Genomic DNA, 16,878 nt, shown 5'->3' with positions numbered 1-16,878 from the left:
AAATTGTATTTGAAGTGTTCATAGGGGTTGGAAGGAACAGTGTTTTGGAGTTGAGTGCTAATATTATGAAGAAGCGTTTGTGTTATAGACTAAAGAACATGGTAGTCAAGAGTGAACTTGTCATCTCTGACCTGTGTTCATTGCTGTAATATAGTCTGAGTGGAAGTACTTTGAAATGGACCTGCTAACATACAGGATAAGTTGTAATATAGGGTGGAAGTTGGCTTAAAGTAAAGGAGACCTTCATGAGAAAACAGGTAACCTACCACCAAACGCTCACTCCCACCTGCCCCTTATTAAAATCTTATTAGAAAATGTAACAGAAGGTTACATTTTCTAACCATGCTATTCATTATTCATTAGTACTAAGTGAATTCAAGACAAAGGAGTTATCTTTGATTTAAAACTACTTTTTTTTTTTTTTTTTTTTTTTTGAGACAGAGTATTACTCTGTCGCCCAGACTGGAGTGCAGTGGCATGATCCCGGCTCACTGCAACCTCCGCCTCCCGGGTTCAAGGATTCTCCTATCTGAGCCTCCCTAGTAGTTGGGACTACAGTCGCATGCCACCATGCCTGGCTAATTTTTGTATTTTTAGTAGAAATGGGGTTTCACCATATTGATAAGGTTGGTCTCGAACTCCTGATCTCAGGTGATCTACCTACCTCTGCCTCCCAGAGTGCTGGGATTACAGGTGTGAGCCACTGCGCCTGGCCTAAAACTACCATCTTTTGACATCATATATATATTTATGATTTTAACTGTATTGGCTAGCTGTTGTTTAGGAGTTTCTTGTCATATAATGCGGAAAAATACCTTGAATCAAAGCTATTAAGATAAAAGGAAACTTTTCTGAGATAATTCCCCAGCCTGTTAAGTGAAAATTTTCGGTGTTCAGAATTATCTTTTTTTTTGTAAATTGCTACATATCTAGTGAGTCAGGCACCCACTTCCTAGTATGTTAAGTCAGCCATAAATAAGAGAATGAAAAGAGTATGGAAGAATATATTTTGGAAAAGGTAAAAAACTTATAAAGGCTATATTAAAACCTGTAGCATTGGGGCTGGGAGTGGTGGCTCATGCCTGTAATCCCAGCACTTTGGGAGGCCAAGGTGGGTGGATCACCTGAGGTCAGGAGTTCGAGACCAGCCTGGCCAACATGGCCAAACCCCGTCTCTACTAAAAATACAAAAATCAGTCAAAGGTGATGGCGTGTGCCTGTAGTCCCAGCTACTCGGGAGGCTGAGGCAGGAGAACCGCCTGGGAGGCAGAGGTTGTAGTGAGCCAAGATCTTGCTATTGCACTCCAGCCCGGGCGACAGAGTGAGACTCTGTCTCAAAAAAAAAAAAAAAAAACCTAAAATGTTTGTAGGTTATGTATTATGTGTTATCTTAGGTTAAGCAGATAAGTCAAATGGGGCATTTGGTTATCTAAGTAATTTAAGGAATTATGATGTTAACTGATTTATTGAAAGGGATTTATTTCAATTATGATTTCTTAAGTGGTGAGAAGCTATTTTCCTTTAAGCTACAAAAAATTATGGGCAATACTATGACTCTAAAGCTTTTTCTGATAATGTCTTTAAAAGAAGATAATGTCTATTGGATAAGTAACATTAAAAAAAATTCATTTACTCGAGAGCTAGGTGTAAAGTTCTGAAGGAGAAAAACACTTTTTTTTTTCCTCTTACACAGTCAACACTCAGCACATCACAAAACACTACTGTAACCAGAAGTGTGGGGGTTTTTTTCCCCCACATATACCAAGCAATTGTAGGAGACACCAACTGGGTGTCCCGTAATTCAATTCAATTTTGACTTCAGCTACCTGGAGTTAGATCGCAGGTTAAGGCCTCAGTTGCACAAGACTAAGGCCCTTACTTCACATGCCAATCATACATAAGTAGTAGCTTGTCACCTGTACTTGTGACTCACCAGCTATAAATCGGGTTACCACTACCCCTCTCCTTGGGTTTGATTAATTTGCTAGGAAGGCTCACAGAACTCAGGGAAACGCTTACTAATATTTGCTGGTTTATTATAAAGGATACTTTAAAGGATACATGTGAAAGCCAGATGAAGAAGTACATAGGGCAAAGTCTGGAAGGGTCCCCAAGTACAGGAGCCTCTTCCCCCGTGGAATTGGGGTATGCTATCCTCCCTGCACATGGATGCAATGACCAACCTGGAATCTCATCAGGTCTCTTGTTTACCAATTTATTTATGTATTTACTGAGACAGGATCTTGCTCTTTCACCCAGGCTGCAGTGCAGTGGTGCAATCACAGCTCCCTGCAGCCACTACCTCCCAGGTTCAAGTGATCCTCTCACCTCAGCCTCCCAAGTAACTGGGACCACAGACACACACCACCATGTCTGGCTAATTTTTTAATTTTTTTGTAAAGTTGGGGTCTACTTATGTTGCCCAGGGTGGTCTCAAACTCCTGAGTACAAGTGATCCTCCTGCCTCAGCCTCCTGAGTAGCTGGGACTATAGGCATGCTCCACCATACCCAGCTAATTTTTTAAAAATTTTCTTAGACACAGGATCTGTGTTGCCCGGGCTGTCTTGAACTCCTGGCCTCAAATGATCCTCCTGCCTCAACCTCCCAAGTAGCTGGGATTACTAATAGGCATGATCCACCACGATTGGCTATATTTCTTATTTCACAAAAGAGTTTTATAGGTGTGCCTTATATTGACATACTATTTTAATTTTATGTCTTTCAGATATTTGGATTTGACCTGCATTTTGGAATTTATCTACACTTAAAATGCCACCAGCAGTTGGAGGTCCAGTTGGATACACCCCCCCAGATGGAGGCTGGGGCTGGGCAGTGGTAATTGGAGCTTTCATTTCCATCGGCTTCTCTTATGCATTTCCCAAATCAATTACTGTCTTCTTCAAAGAGATTGAAGGTATATTCCATGCCACCACCAGCGAAGTGTCATGGATATCCTCCATAATGTTGGCTGTCATGTATGGTGGAGGTAAGTACCCATTAAGGCCTGCTCTTTTAATTTTCATGAAGCAGCCAGAGTGTCTGTATTAGGTAACTTTAAAAAAAAAAAAAAGTCTTATTCAGTGAGATGTTTTGAAATGTTATTTCTTAAAGTTTGGTGTTTAGAGTCACATTTTTCATTCCTGATAACAATAGCAACTCTTGCTATAGTATACTGTAGTATTTCAAAACAGAAATGAGAAAATTGTGAGGGACCTTGATTTGCTCCAACTGATGTATCATTGAGTTTAAAAGACTGTTATAAAAATGATGTATTCACAGCTGTATTTTTTTTGTTGATCTCTGCTGGACTCTTGAAATGTAAACATAAATATAGATTTTTAAAAATTGATGTTGGGAGGATTAAAATAAATCAGACTAGCCTGAATGGCATGGTTCAGATTCTCAGGTAAAATCTTTATATGATGTTAGAATTAACTGAAAAAACCTCCTCCGTATTACTTGCGATGTTATGAGTCCTAAAAGCATTTCAGCTGCACCCTAAACTTAAATTTTACCATTTATTTCTCTTTTGTTTTTTTTGGCATATTGTAAAGGAAATGTTGGAAGTAAGTTGCTCACTTAACATCATCTAAAATACTGTTTCTAGCCAATGTAATGATTCTTGGTTTCAACTATAAATAACTTAGCCTTAGGCTGCTAAGGTGGTGCCAGAGTCAACCAATATCTGTCAAGTTCTATGAATATATTCAGCACTGGGCTAGGTATTGTGAGTGACAGAAAACACTGATCCCTTCCTTTGAGAAGTTTATAATCCTTTTGAGACAGTAATATATGATCGTGAAACAGGAATAAGCAGTTGAAATCATAATTTCATTAAGCCTGTAATTAAATCGTCCAGAAGAAACAGGTAACTGGCTGCCATGGAGAAAGAGAAACTGGGTGACTGGGAACAGGATTAGGAAGACTTATGTTTCCACTGTTTATCTTTTTGTGCCTTTTACATTTTGAACATAGGCCTATTTTGTCTATCAAATTAAAGAACCTAAGTGCTTAATTGTAGTGTTTTTTTTTAATAAGTTCAGAGAAATCAAAATGGACTTTGGGCATTAGCTTCTGAGAGCCAATAATTTTGTAGGCTTTGAACTCCATTCTGCCAGGATTTTAATCAGGTTTTGACTATGATGGCTTGAAGAAATTGGTATAAACATTACCCAGAGGTACTCCAGGTGTTCAGTGTCTTCTTAAGTTGACTACAAACCAGAAGTTTACATGTTGCTATTCTGTGCTACCAAAGAGCGAGAAAGCCACTTGTGTTTTGCATCAAAAGTAAGTGATGTCAGTTTTATTAGTTGCACATGACACTTTCCTTTGGGGAAACAGTTCCTTCTTTGTCCTTACTCAATTAGTGAGATAACTAGCACATTTTTTTGAGTTTGTATTATAATAGGCCTATAAACCGTACCCCTTTCTATTTTTAATGATAGCTAATTAGGCCTATCCTTCCTGAAATAACACTAAAAGACAAAATGCCTATCATGAACCTTGTTGCAGAATTTTTACTAAATGGGTTGTTTTGTTTGGTTTGGTTTCTAAATAGTATATCCCCTAATAGTTTTCATCACTTTTACAACTGTGATAATCCTTTAACTTGTTCATTTGGACCACAATCTGAACACTAATACGTCTTGAGATATGGTTGGTTTTGTTTTCTTTTTTAGTGCTTTGGGTCAGAGATATACAGTGATGGTTGTTAAAGTATATTTTGCGGGGAAGAGATCTTACCTGCCTACTTTTGGTTTGTTTATTTGTTTTTCCTTTTTTTTTTAAACATGAAAGTATAAATTTTATCAGTTCCACAAGGGTCACCTTAACACTTGTGGTTTGGAATTTTAAATATTTCAAAAACTTTAACTTCTACAGTATTAACTTCTACCTCAGAGTCAACAGTGTGGTGATACTGATCTTTGTTTTGTGGGATTTTTTTTTTTTTTTTTTTTGACACAGGGTCTCACTGTTGACCAGGAGTACAGTGGCATGATCATGTCTCCCTGCAGCCTCAGCCACCGAGGCTCAAACCATCCTCCTGCCTCAGCCTCCCCAGTAGCAGGTGGCCCTACTACTATGCTCAGCTAATTTTTTATTTTTGTTAAGTAGAGATGGGGTCTCACTCTATGGCCCAAGCTGATCCTTTTTTTTTTAAGTTTTTTTATTATTTATTTATTTATTTATTTATTTTGAGATAGGGTTTCTCACTCTGTCACTCAGGCTGGAGTGCAGTGGCACAATCACCACTAACTGTAGCCTCAGCCTCCCTGGCCTCAGGTGATCGGTCCTCCCCCTTCACCCTGCCAAGTAGCTAGGACTACAGGCTTGCACCACCACACTCGGCTAATTTTTGTATTTTTTGTAGAGATGGGTTGTTGCAATGTTGCCAAGGCTGGTCTTGAACTCCTAGGCTCAAACAATCTGCCCACCTTGGCCTCCCAAAGTGCTGGGATTACAGGCATGAGCCACCATGCCTAGCCTGGTATTTATCTTTGTAATTCTAACTGTACAAAGTCTTATGACTACAGTGGCATGATCTCTGCTCACTGAAACTTCTGCCTCCTGGGTTCAAGCAATTCTCCTGCCTCAGCCTCCTGAGTAGCTGGGACTGCAGGTGTGTACCACTACGCCCAGCTAGTTTTTGTATTTTTAGTAGAGATGGTGTTGGCCAGGTTGGTCTTGAACTCTCCTGACCTCAGGTAATCCACCTGCCTCAGCATCCCAAAGTGCTGGGATTACAGGCGTGAGCCACTGCGCCTGGCAACGGCCAGTTCTTGATGTAGCACCTTAGAGAGACTTGGTCCTATGAAACACATGAATAATCAAAAGCTTTAATTCCTTCTTAACATGCTTATCTTATGTATATATACATACATAACATCTATATCTATATGGATGGAGATGGAAAGAGAGCACCTTCTGTCTGTGTCATGTGAAAGCATAAATAAGCATGTGCACCAGTATCATGATCACTGCCAGTATTTATTGAGGACCAACTAAACACCTCACATATATTAGTTAATTTTTTATTCTTTCAACAATCCTATAAAGTAGTTTAATAATAACCTCTGAGAAACAGACAAGAATATGGTGAAACCAAAACTTAAAACAGGGTGCCCTGGGGCTACAGCCTATCCTTTTAATGTTAGTATACTGTACCGCAACTCTGAATAGTAAAACTAGACTATAAGTAACTGAAGTATTTTTCATAGTATTTATGGAAATAGAATATGCCAATATGTGATCATTAGTATATTCTGAATATATGTACATTCAATATGTGTTTTTAGAAATAGACTCTATGTTTGGATAAGACTTTCTTGTAATTAAGATTTTGAAATTTGGAAAAGGCAAATTACAGATTATACCTATTTATAGCAAGTAAGAAGAGAAGGCCAGGCACGGTGGCTCACACCTATAATCCCAGCACTTTGGGAGGCCTAGGTAGGTGGATCACTTGAGTCCGGGATTACAAGACCAACCTGGGCAACATGGTAAAACCCTGTCTCTACAAAAAATACAAAAATTAGCCCGGCACGGTGGCATGCACCTGAAGTCCCAGCTACTCGGGAGGCTGGGCAGGCAGATTGAATGAGCCCAGGAGGTCGAGGCTGCAGTGAACCCTGATAGTACCACTGCATTCCAGCCTGGGTGACAGAACAACACCTTGTCTCAAATTTAAAAAAAAAAGAAAGGCCACTTGACATTTGATTCCTCTTCTCAAAAACTGATACATAGGTCAGTCATGGTGGCTTACACCTATAATCCCAGCACTTTTGGAGGCAGTGGTGGCAGTATCACTTGAGCCTAGGAGGTTGGGTCTGCAGTGAGCTGTGATTGCGCTACTGCACTCCAGCCACAGAGGGAGACTGGTCGCAAAAAACTGATACATGAAATGCATAAAATATTTTCTTGTTTCTTATAATGCTTTTCATTTGGTTCCTTTTCTCACATACTAGAAATGCTGATTTTTATATGCATATAGTTAGCTGAGGAAATGTCTGGTTTTCTTGGATAATACTATTTCCTATTCTCTTGAGTTGTTACACCCACGTTGTGTTGACTGTTATCTGATTTAATCTTATCCTGCAAGCATTTTTTTTCACAATTGTACTACCATGAAACTTAATAATATAGGCATGGAACCAAGTAATTCTGAAGGATATATTTGGGTGGGTTTTTTTTGTTTGTTTGTTTTTTGAGACAGAACCTCACTCTGTTGCCCAGGCACGATCTCATCTCACTGCAACTTCTGCCTCCCAGGTTCAAGTGATTCTTCGCCTCAGCCTCCCGAGTAGCTGGGACTACAGGCATGCACCACCACCATACCTGGCCCCTGAAAGATATATTTGGTTTAGTACCTGAATTTGGATGTAACTAGGAACTTTTTCTTTTTTAATCAAGATTACCTAATTGCAACACTACTTAAACTTGGAAAAAATGATCATGCATTTTTGTCTTTTTTCTTTTTTTTGTTGTTGTTGTTTTTGTTTGTTTGTTTTCTTTATAAATGACCCGGTCTCAGGTATTCTTTTATAGCAATGCAAACAGACTAACACACAGCACCCCAGGAGGTTTCATTCTTCATTTGGTGGTGACTTTACTGTTAGGTTTTTGTCCAAATACTTCCATCCCTAAGAATTTACTGAGGCACTTCTAAATTAAAGAAAGTGTGAGAAACAAAAGAGGTTACAGAAGAGCCTTGGGCAACCTGAGAAACGATGGGCCTAGTGGAAGTAGTTGGGACATTCGTGAGCAACCAATTGCCAGGCTTGATTAAAGGCCTCCACAACATCTGGCTCCAGGGGCCCTTCCTCTGCCGCTGCCAAGTTCTGCTCCAACTGCTCCAAGCTGGACATGCCCAGGATGACTGCGTCCCCGTGGGCACCCTGCAGCTGTGAGTGGTGGTACATCCACCAGAGGGCAGCCGAGGTCATGCTGGGGGCGCTGGCGCCATACGCGGCCTGCAGGGCCTTCTCTACCAGGGCAATGCCATCGAAGTGGTGCTTCTTCCAGAAGCGATTCCTGTAGATCTCTGCCCATTGAGTCCCAAAGAAGCGGCCCATGGGCTGTTTCCTGTCCTTGTCCTTATACTTGTACTTGCCAGTCAGCAGGTCCCCAGCCAGAGGGTTGAAGGCATAGAACCTCAGTCCAGAGTGCCTGAGGCAGGGGAAGAGCTCCGTTTTCACCTGCTGGGTGGTGGCGTTGTACATGCCCTGGTACACAGTGGGCAGGGTCCAGCCATTGCTCTTGCAGAGGTTACAGATCTTGGCCACTTCCCAGGTGGCATAGTTGGAGAGGCCAAGATCCAGGAACTTGCCCTCCTGGTGCAGCTGGTGGCAGGCACTCAGTGTCTCTTCCACCGGGGTGCTGTGGTCTGGCCTGAGCAGGTAGAAGAGGTCCACTCGGGGACACTGCAGCCACTTCAGTGACGTCTCCAGCTGGAACCGGAGACTGTCAGGTTTCAGGGAGTTCCCAAACAATGGATTGGCCTTGGTATCAATTTTCAGGCCACCCAGGATGGTCTTGGACTGGCTGTCGCTGTACACGAAGGCCGTGTCTATCTTGGTGTGGCCGTGCTCCAGGAAGGCGCGGGTGACTACGGCGCCCCATCTCCATGGCACCCAACACCGTGGAGGGCCGGGACATGATGGCGGCAACAGGAGACTGCGACAGCCCGGGAGCAACGTGCAGTGGTTGGAAGCATCAGCTCCCTGGAGTTGGCGGCCGCGTGGCTTTAGGGATTGCTGTTTGTTTGTTTTTGAGACGGAGTTTCACTCTTGTTGCCCAGGCTGGAGTGCAATGGCTCACCGCAACCTCCACCTCCTGGATTCAAATGATTCTTCTGCCTCAGCCTCCTGAGTAGCTGGGATTACAGGCATGCGCCACCACGCCCAGCTAATTTTGTATTTTTAGTAGTGATGAGGTTTCTCCATGTCGGTCAGGCTGGTCTTGAACTCCTGACCTCAGGTGATCCATCCACCTCCCAAAGTGCTGGGATTACAGGCATGAGCCACCACGCCCACCCTGTCTTTCAGGAGGCTGAGGCAAGAGAATGGCATGAACCCGGGAGGCGGAGCTTACAGTAAGCGAGATCAGGCCACTGCACTCCAGCTTGGGTGACAGAGTGAGACTCCGTCTCAAAAAAAACACAACACCACAAACCACATTTATGATAATATACAAGTACTCTAAAATCTAGATGCATTTATACGTCTCCTATCACTGCGTGTGTCTGAAATTTAAAACAGAACATACTTTCTACTAACATGTTTTTGTTTTGTTTGTTTGTTTTTTGAGACAGAGTCTCACTCTATTGCCCAGGCTGGAGTGCAGTGGCGCAATCTTGGCTCACTGCAACCTCCACCTCCCAGGTTCAAGCCATTCTCCTGCCTCAGCCTTCGGAGTAGCTGGGATTACAGGCACGCGCCAACCACGCCTGGCTAATTTTTGTATTTTTAGTCGAGACGGGGTTTCGCCATGTTGGCCAGGCTGGTCTTGAACTCCTGACCTCGGGTGATCCACCTGCCCCAGCCTCCCAAAGTGCTGGGATTACAGGCGTGAGCTACTGCGCCCAGCCACTTTCTACATACATGTTAATCGTATCCTAGATACATCAAGAACCTTGTGAACATCCATTACCAAGGTGTTTTCAGCCTGCCCTGCCATAAAAGAGAAAGATTAAGGATAACTTCAGGTCTTTTGTATTTTAGTAAAATTCCATCCAGTATTTTTAGATTTAGAACCTGCACAATTAATTATGTTTTCTAACATCTTTATTTTAGTACACATGTGACTCAGAAGTAATTATAGAAAACAATATTCTTATCATTGCTGCTTGTTTATTTTGGAGGATTTGTCATTCATTGTCATTCATACTTGTGTAGATGTGAGGGAGCAGTTTCCTTTATATTACTACATTTTTGGTTGTCTTTTAGGTCCTATCAGCAGTATCCTGGTGAATAAATATGGAAGTCGTATAGTCATGATTGTTGGTGGCTGCTTGTCAGGCTGTGGCTTGATTGCAGCTTCTTTCTGTAACACCGTACAGCAACTATACGTCTGTATTGGAGTCATTGGAGGTGAGTTACTACTGATTCATTTGGAAGCATTAGTTTATGGCTGGCTATTTTGTATTTACCTGCATTCATCTTTCAGATCTCTGGAGTGAAATTCTTTTCTTATAGAAATGACTTGATTATCATTTTGAAGAACTAGAGATAAAAGTACTAGAAAAGCAAACTTTTAAAGAAATTGCCATTATATAATGGATATTTATTGTTTGTCGAATGAGTGAATGAATTGAAAGAATGATTGCATTCCTTGTCCTAAGAATAGCCAGTAGTGGTAGATACAATGTGTGTGGCAACTTGGTGCGAGAGTGGCAATTTGATAGAATGTCCACATAACATTTCTGAGGGGTAGAGGATACGCTTCATAATTCCTCCCCCCATTTTAAAAATCACTAAATTAAGATAATGAACTGTTGATGAGCATAATGAATAAAAGTTACCCATAACCTCACAATCCAAAGAATATCATTAACATTTCTATGTATATCCTTCCATGTGTTTTTCTATGCACAGATACACCTTTTTTTGAGCAAAAAAGGATCAAATTATGTCTAATATTTTATAACCAGATTTTTGTCAGTATTAAGTTGAAAGTTTTGTGAACATGAATATATTCTTCGTATAAATTTGTAGAAAGGGAACTGCTGTGTGTTTGTTTTAATATATGTATGCTAAATTGTCCTCCAAAAAAGTTATACTCACTTATTATCCCACCACAATATATCAGAGATTCCAAGATTATCCCTTTTGTCAACAATGGGATATTGCCTTTTTTAAAAAAATAATTGCCAGTTTAACACGTGAGAACAGTATCTCTTGGTTTTAATCCTTATTTTCTTTTCTTTTTTTTTTTTTTTTGAGACGGAGTCTCGCTCTGTCTCCCAGGCTGGAGTGCAGTGGCGCGATCTCAGCTCACTGCAAGCTCCGCCTCCTGGATTCACGTCATTCTCCTGCCTCAGCCTCCTGAGTACCTGGAACTGCAGGTGCCCGCCACCACGCCTGGCTAATTTTTTGTATTTTTTTTTAGTAGAGACGGGGTTTCATCGCATTAGTCAGTATAGTCGATCTCCTGACCTTGTGATCCGCCTGCCTCGGCCTCCCAAAGTGCTGGGATTACAGGCGTGAATCACCTTGCCCGGCCTTCTGATGTTGAATTTTGTTAAAAAGTATTTTTAAAATTCAGTCTTTTCCAATGTTTTTCCCTTATTAAACATATAAATTTTTATGTATTCAAAACGTATTTTATGGTTTCCATCTTGTATGTCATCCTGAGAAAGTTGTTTTCTACTCCAAGATTATGAAAATATTTGTCCACTTCTGTTTACTGCACTTTAGTTTTTATATTTTAAAAATCTGGTTTTGTTGTTGTTCTTTTGTTTTGTTTTGTTTTTTTGAGACACAGTTTCACTCTCACTGCCAGGCTAGACTGCTATGGCATGATCTCGGCTCACTGCAATCTCCGCCTCCTGGGTTCAAGCGATTCTCCTGCCGCAGCCTCCCAAGTAGCCGGGATTACAGGCGCCCGCTACCACACCCAGCTAATTTTTGTATTTTTAGTAGAGACGGGGTTTCACTATGTTGTGCAGGCTGGTCTCAAACTCCTGACCTCATGGTCCGCCTGCCGCTGCCTCCCAAAGTGCTGGGATTACAGGCGTGAGCCACTGCACCTGGCCAATTTTTGTGTTTTTAATAGAGACGGGGTTTCACCATGTTGGCCAGGCTGGTCTCAAACTCCTGACCTCAGGTGATCCGCCTGCCTCGGCCTCCCAACATGCTGGAATTACAGGCATGAGCGACCACGCCCAGCTACATTTAAAAATTCCAAATGGATGAAAACATCTGACATAAGATGAGAAAAAAGAAATATAACTCTATTTGTTCCCACATGGTTAATCAGTTGGTTCATTTGCTCTTTTATTAATTTATTTATGAAATATTTATTGAGCAACAACTGTATGTGTGTTAGGAACCATTTTAGGTGCTGTAGAGATAGAGCAACAAGTCAGGCAGTTACACTCTTTAATAGGAGGAGACAAACAGTACAACTCATAAATAAATTAATAAATAAGAAAAATATCAGGTAGTGATAAATGCTATATAAAGCCTTTAACTGAGTGTTGTGACAGGGAAGAACTGGGCAAGCAATGAAGGTCAGGGCTCACTGAAGAATCAACTTTAAGTAGAGACCTGCATAACAACAGGGAACCAGATTTGTGAAAATGTAAGGGATCATAGACCGTAGAGCTTATTAACAAATGTAAGAATGGTTTGCTATGAGGTCAGGGAGGAAGTTCTTTGAATATTACTTTTGCTAGCACTATTTATTGAATAATTTCTCTCTATTAATTTAAAATGCTACTTTATCTTACATTAAATGTTTCCATGTATTTCAACTCTGTTCCTGGACTTTCTATAGTGTTTCTGCACTTTCACTGACGAATTTTTACTGGTTCCTGAAACAGGGCCACACTGCTCTAATGACTGTAGCTTTTGTAAAGCCATTTAAATAATTTGTTCTGGTTGGTCCCACTTTTTCCTCTGCACCATCAAAAATTTCCTAGTAGCTCTGTATTTGTTCTGTAAGTATCCTTTAGAATCATTTACCTTAATCCGAAAGTAAAATTCACTGACATTTTCATTGGATTGCATTAAATTAGTACATTCAGGCTGGGTGCGGTGGCTTACGCCTGTAATCCCAGCACTTTGGGAGGCCGAGCCAGGTGGATCACGAGGTCAGGAGATCGAGACCATCCTGGCTAATACGGTGAAACCCCGTCTCTACTAAAAATACAAAAAAAAAATGAGCCGGGCATGGTGGCGGGCGCCTGTAGTCCCAGCTACTCGGGAGGCTGAGCCAGGAGAATGGTGTGAACCCGGGAGGTGGAGGTTGCAGTGAGCCGAGATCGCGCCACTGCACTCCAGCCTGGGCGGCAGAGCAAGACTCTGTCTCAAAAATAAATAAATAAATAAATAAATAAATAAATAAAATAAATTAGTACATTCATTTCAGGAGCCTTGGCATCTTAGCAATGTTGTGTTTTATTTTCCCAAAACTTTGTGTGTATTTTAAATTCTCTGATCTCTCAGGAAAGTTTCACAATTGGAGTCTTAGGAATTGGCCTGTTTTTAAGTTTTGGTGCTATAGTGGAAGGGATCATTTTGTACTATATGTTATTTCTTTCGTTTTTGGGTTTTTGAGACAGGTTCTTTCTCTGTAGCCCAGGATGGAGTGCAGTTGTGTGATCATAGCTCACCATAGCCTCAAACTTCTAGGCTCAAGTGATACTCCAGCTTTAGCCGCCCAAGTAGCTAGGACTGCAGGCACACACTACCATACCTGACTAATTTTCGAATTACTTTTTGTAGAGACAGGTCTTGCTATGCTGCCCAAGGTGGTCTTGAATGCCTGGCCTTAATCAATCCTGCCGCCTTGGCTTCCCAAAGCACTGGGATTATAGACATGAGCCACTGCAGCTGGCCTTATGCATTTTCTAGTGTAAATTTGTTTTATCTCTACTGTCGACTTAATGATCTTATATGGTTATAATAATCCTTCCGGTGATTTTGTTAGATTAGACAAAATAGTTATTCACCTTCAAATAATAAAAACAACAATAATAAAAATAACATGTATTAAGTGCTTACTACATACTGGGCACTGGGTACTAAGTGCTTAACAAATCTTTTCTTCCTCACAACAGTGACCTGTGCCCGTTTTACATATTAGGAAGCAGTCATAGGAGGGTATACATGTCTGAGATTATGCAACCAGTAAGCACTGATACTGAGATTTGAACCCATGTCTGTTTTAGAAGTCATACTTTAAACCACTACATAACATGTCCTCTAATAATGAGGATTTATATCCTATTCCTTCCATTATTTATACCTCTTATTATTTATTTATTTATTTATTTATTTATTTATTTATTTATTTATTTATTGTCTTCACAGGTCTTGGGCTTGCCTTCAACTTGAATCCAGCTCTGACCATGATTGGCAAGTATTTCTACAAGAGGCGACCATTGGCCAACGGACTGGCCATGGCAGGCAGCCCTGTGTTCCTCTGTACTCTGGCCCCCCTCAATCAGGTTTTCTTCGGTATCTTTGGATGGAGAGGAAGCTTTCTAATTCTTGGGGGCTTGCTACTAAACTGCTGTGTTGCTGGAGCCCTCATGCGACCAATCGGGCCCAAGCCAACCAAGGCAGGGAAAGATAAGTCTAAAGCATCCCTTGAGAAAGCTGGAAAATCTGGTGTGAAAAAAGATCTGCATGATGCAAATACAGATCTTATTGGAAGACACCCTAAACAAGAGAAACGATCAGTCTTCCAAACAATTAATCAGTTCCTGGACTTAACCCTATTCACCCACAGAGGCTTTTTGCTATACCTCTCTGGAAATGTGATCATGTTTTTTGGACTCTTTGCACCTTTGGTGTTTCTTAGTAGTTATGGGAAGAGTCAGCATTATTCTAGTGAGAAGTCTGCCTTCCTTCTTTCCATTCTGGCTTTTGTTGACATGGTAGCCCGACCATCTATGGGACTTGTAGCCAACACAAAGCCAATAAGACCTCGAATTCAGTATTTCTTTGCGGCTTCCGTTGTTGCAAATGGAGTGTGTCATATGCTAGCACCTTTATCCACTACCTATGTTGGATTCTGTGTCTATGCGGGATTCTTTGGATTTGCCTTCGGGTGGCTCAGCTCCGTATTGTTTGAAACATTGATGGACCTTGTTGGACCCCAGAGGTTCTCCAGCGCTGTGGGATTGGTGACCATTGTGGAATGCTGTCCTGTCCTCCTGGGGCCACCACTTTTAGGTATAGTATATCTCCCTACTAATGTGGGTCTATTACAAAACAAGCATGTAAGATGGGAATGCTGACAGAAAGCAAACATTAGTGAGCTATTTGGGTAAGAATAAATCTTTCTCATTTATGTACCCTTGATGCTGGGACAATGCTTGGCACAGCATAATTGCTCAAATATAGAATCTAATTAAATGGAACCATCAAGGCAAAAGGGGGATCAAATATTGTTACAAATGTCAGTGTTTTTTCTTTTTTTTTGAGATGGAGTCTTGCTCTGTTGCCCAGGCTGGAGTGCAGTGGCACCATCTCAGCTCACTGCAACCTCCGCCTCCCAGGTTCAAGCGATTCCCCTGCCTCAGCCTCCCGGTAGCTGGGATTACAGATGCATGCCACCATGCCTGGCCAATTTTTATATCTTTAATAGAGACAGGGTTTCGCCATGTTGGCCAGGCTGGTCTCTAACTCCTGACCTCAAACGATCCACTTGTCTCAGCCTCCCAAAGTGCTGGGTAACAGGTGTGAGCCACTGTGCCTGGCCTAAAATATGTTTTTTTCTGATCGCAAAACTGATGTGCTTAGTGTAGAAAAGCATGTAGAAAAACAACCCAATCTTTAAAGCGCTAGTGATTATTTCATTTTAAAAATGAAGTATATTTCACATAAGTTTTTTTTTTTTTTTTTTTTTTTTTTAAGACAGTCTTGGTCTTGTTGCCCAGGCTGGAGTGCAATGGCGCGATCTCGGCTCACTGCAACCTCTGCCTCCTGGGTTCAAGCAATTCTCCTGCCTCAGCCTCCCAAGTAGCTGTGATTACAGGCGCCCACCACCATGCCCAGCTAATTTTTGTATTTTTAGTAGAGACGGTTTCACCATGTTGGCCAGGCTCGTCTTGAACTCCTAACCTCAGGTGGTCCACCCGCCTTGGCCTCCCAAAGTGCTGGGATTACAGGCATGAGCCACCATGCCTGATCCATAAATTTTTTAAAAACACACAAAAAGCAAAAAAAAAAAAAAAAAGTTTATTTCAGTAGCAGTAGTATAATAATAGCTACCATGTAAGCTCACAGTGTACCAGAGACTGTCCTTATCATTTTGTATCTCCTGTTGTATCTCACAAGTCCATATGAGGTAGGACCGTTTTAAGTCCCCATTTTGTAAGTGAACAGAGGCTTCAAAAGGTGAAATAACTTGGCTAAAATCATACAGCTAGAAAATTAATTACAACTTGGGAACTATTCCTGAAGGTTATTGAATACTTTATCTTTCAAATTAATAGCTCAATACATAACACATAGTGAAAAAATAATTTGACCCTTCTTCTGGATGTGACTCATACTTTAGGAACTTTGATTTGGGGAGTGAGTGAGTATATAACAGAAGATCCATAGCTGCCTTTTGAGATCACTGTCTTCTTCCATCTCATACCCAGTGAGTTACTAAGTTCTATGAGTTTTTATGCTCTAAATCTTGTTCTCATCTGCCCATTTTTCTCCATCACAACTACTACCCTTATCCAAAGCTCCTGTCTCCTGTTTGGGCTGCTCCTAACTGTAACCTCCTAACTGGTCTACCTGTATCAGTTCTAGCTGTTCTTCAGTCTCCTTGAAGTCTCCAGTTCAGAACTCTTCAAGATTTCTTAAAACTCTCCAGTTGCTTCCCATTACTTTCAGGGTGAAAAGCAAATTCCCTAATGTGGCTTGCAAGGCACTGCATGGGCTGGCCCCAGCTGTCCTTCCAGCCTCATTTCTACCACTGGCCTCCTGCTCTCTGTGCCCCAGCAACCTGGCCCTTCTTTCCCCTCACACACCATGCTCTCTCCTACCATTGCGCCTTTGCACTACAGTTCTCTGCCTGGATCTAATTCCCATCTCCTTTCTCCTAGATAATTCCTATCCTGCAAATCCCAGCTAAGTTGACACTTTAAGGAAAGCTTTCTTGACCCCACTTCTTTCAAACTCTCCTGGTAGTACTTGTCACAGTTTGTGTAG

At 41.4% G+C, this 16,878-nt stretch overlaps 1 protein-coding gene and 1 pseudogene across 4 annotated transcripts in view, besides 2 other annotated features; one reads left to right on the top strand and one right to left on the bottom strand.

The window, feature by feature from the left end:
* SLC16A1 (solute carrier family 16 member 1) overlaps nucleotides 1-16,878 on the top strand; it is a 44,350-nt gene that overhangs the window by 24,118 nt on the left and 3,354 nt on the right. For all 3 annotated transcript variants that reach the window (NM_003051.4, NM_001166496.2, XM_047428789.1), the window contains exons 2-4: nucleotides 2,727-2,987; nucleotides 9,946-10,089; nucleotides 14,035-14,901. In NM_003051.4, the coding sequence (NP_003042.3) occupies nucleotides 2,771-2,987; nucleotides 9,946-10,089; nucleotides 14,035-14,901 (1,228 nt within the window). In that variant the 5' untranslated portion in view covers nucleotides 2,727-2,770. The remainder of the gene's footprint in view (nucleotides 1-2,726; nucleotides 2,988-9,945; nucleotides 10,090-14,034; nucleotides 14,902-16,878) is intronic.
* Nucleotides 7,406-8,729, bottom strand: AKR7A2P1 (AKR7A2 pseudogene 1; annotated as a pseudogene). Its single transcript, NR_002796.2, has one exon. The product of NR_002796.2 is annotated as an AKR7A2 pseudogene 1 (transcript).
* Nucleotides 7,480-8,344: an enhancer, noted in NCBI's record as "H3K27ac-H3K4me1 hESC enhancer chr1:113466357-113467221 (GRCh37/hg19 assembly coordinates)". NCBI's record gives its function as "activates a minimal SCP1, AML or CMV promoter by ChIP-STARR-seq in naive H9 embryonic stem cells {active_cell/tissue: H9 hESC(naive)}" and the evidence as "EXISTENCE:reporter gene assay evidence [ECO:0000049][PMID:30033119]".
* Nucleotides 8,345-9,210: an enhancer, noted in NCBI's record as "H3K27ac-H3K4me1 hESC enhancer chr1:113465491-113466356 (GRCh37/hg19 assembly coordinates)". NCBI's record gives its function as "activates a minimal SCP1, AML or CMV promoter by ChIP-STARR-seq in naive H9 embryonic stem cells {active_cell/tissue: H9 hESC(naive)}" and the evidence as "EXISTENCE:reporter gene assay evidence [ECO:0000049][PMID:30033119]".

This window comes from Homo sapiens, chromosome 1, assembly GCF_000001405.40.
Source record: "Homo sapiens chromosome 1, GRCh38.p14 Primary Assembly".
In the NCBI taxonomy this organism is placed as follows: Eukaryota; Metazoa; Chordata; class Mammalia; order Primates; family Hominidae; genus Homo; species Homo sapiens.
Note: the sequence above shows the minus strand (reverse complement) of the source record. Positions and strands in the feature narration are given on the sequence as shown.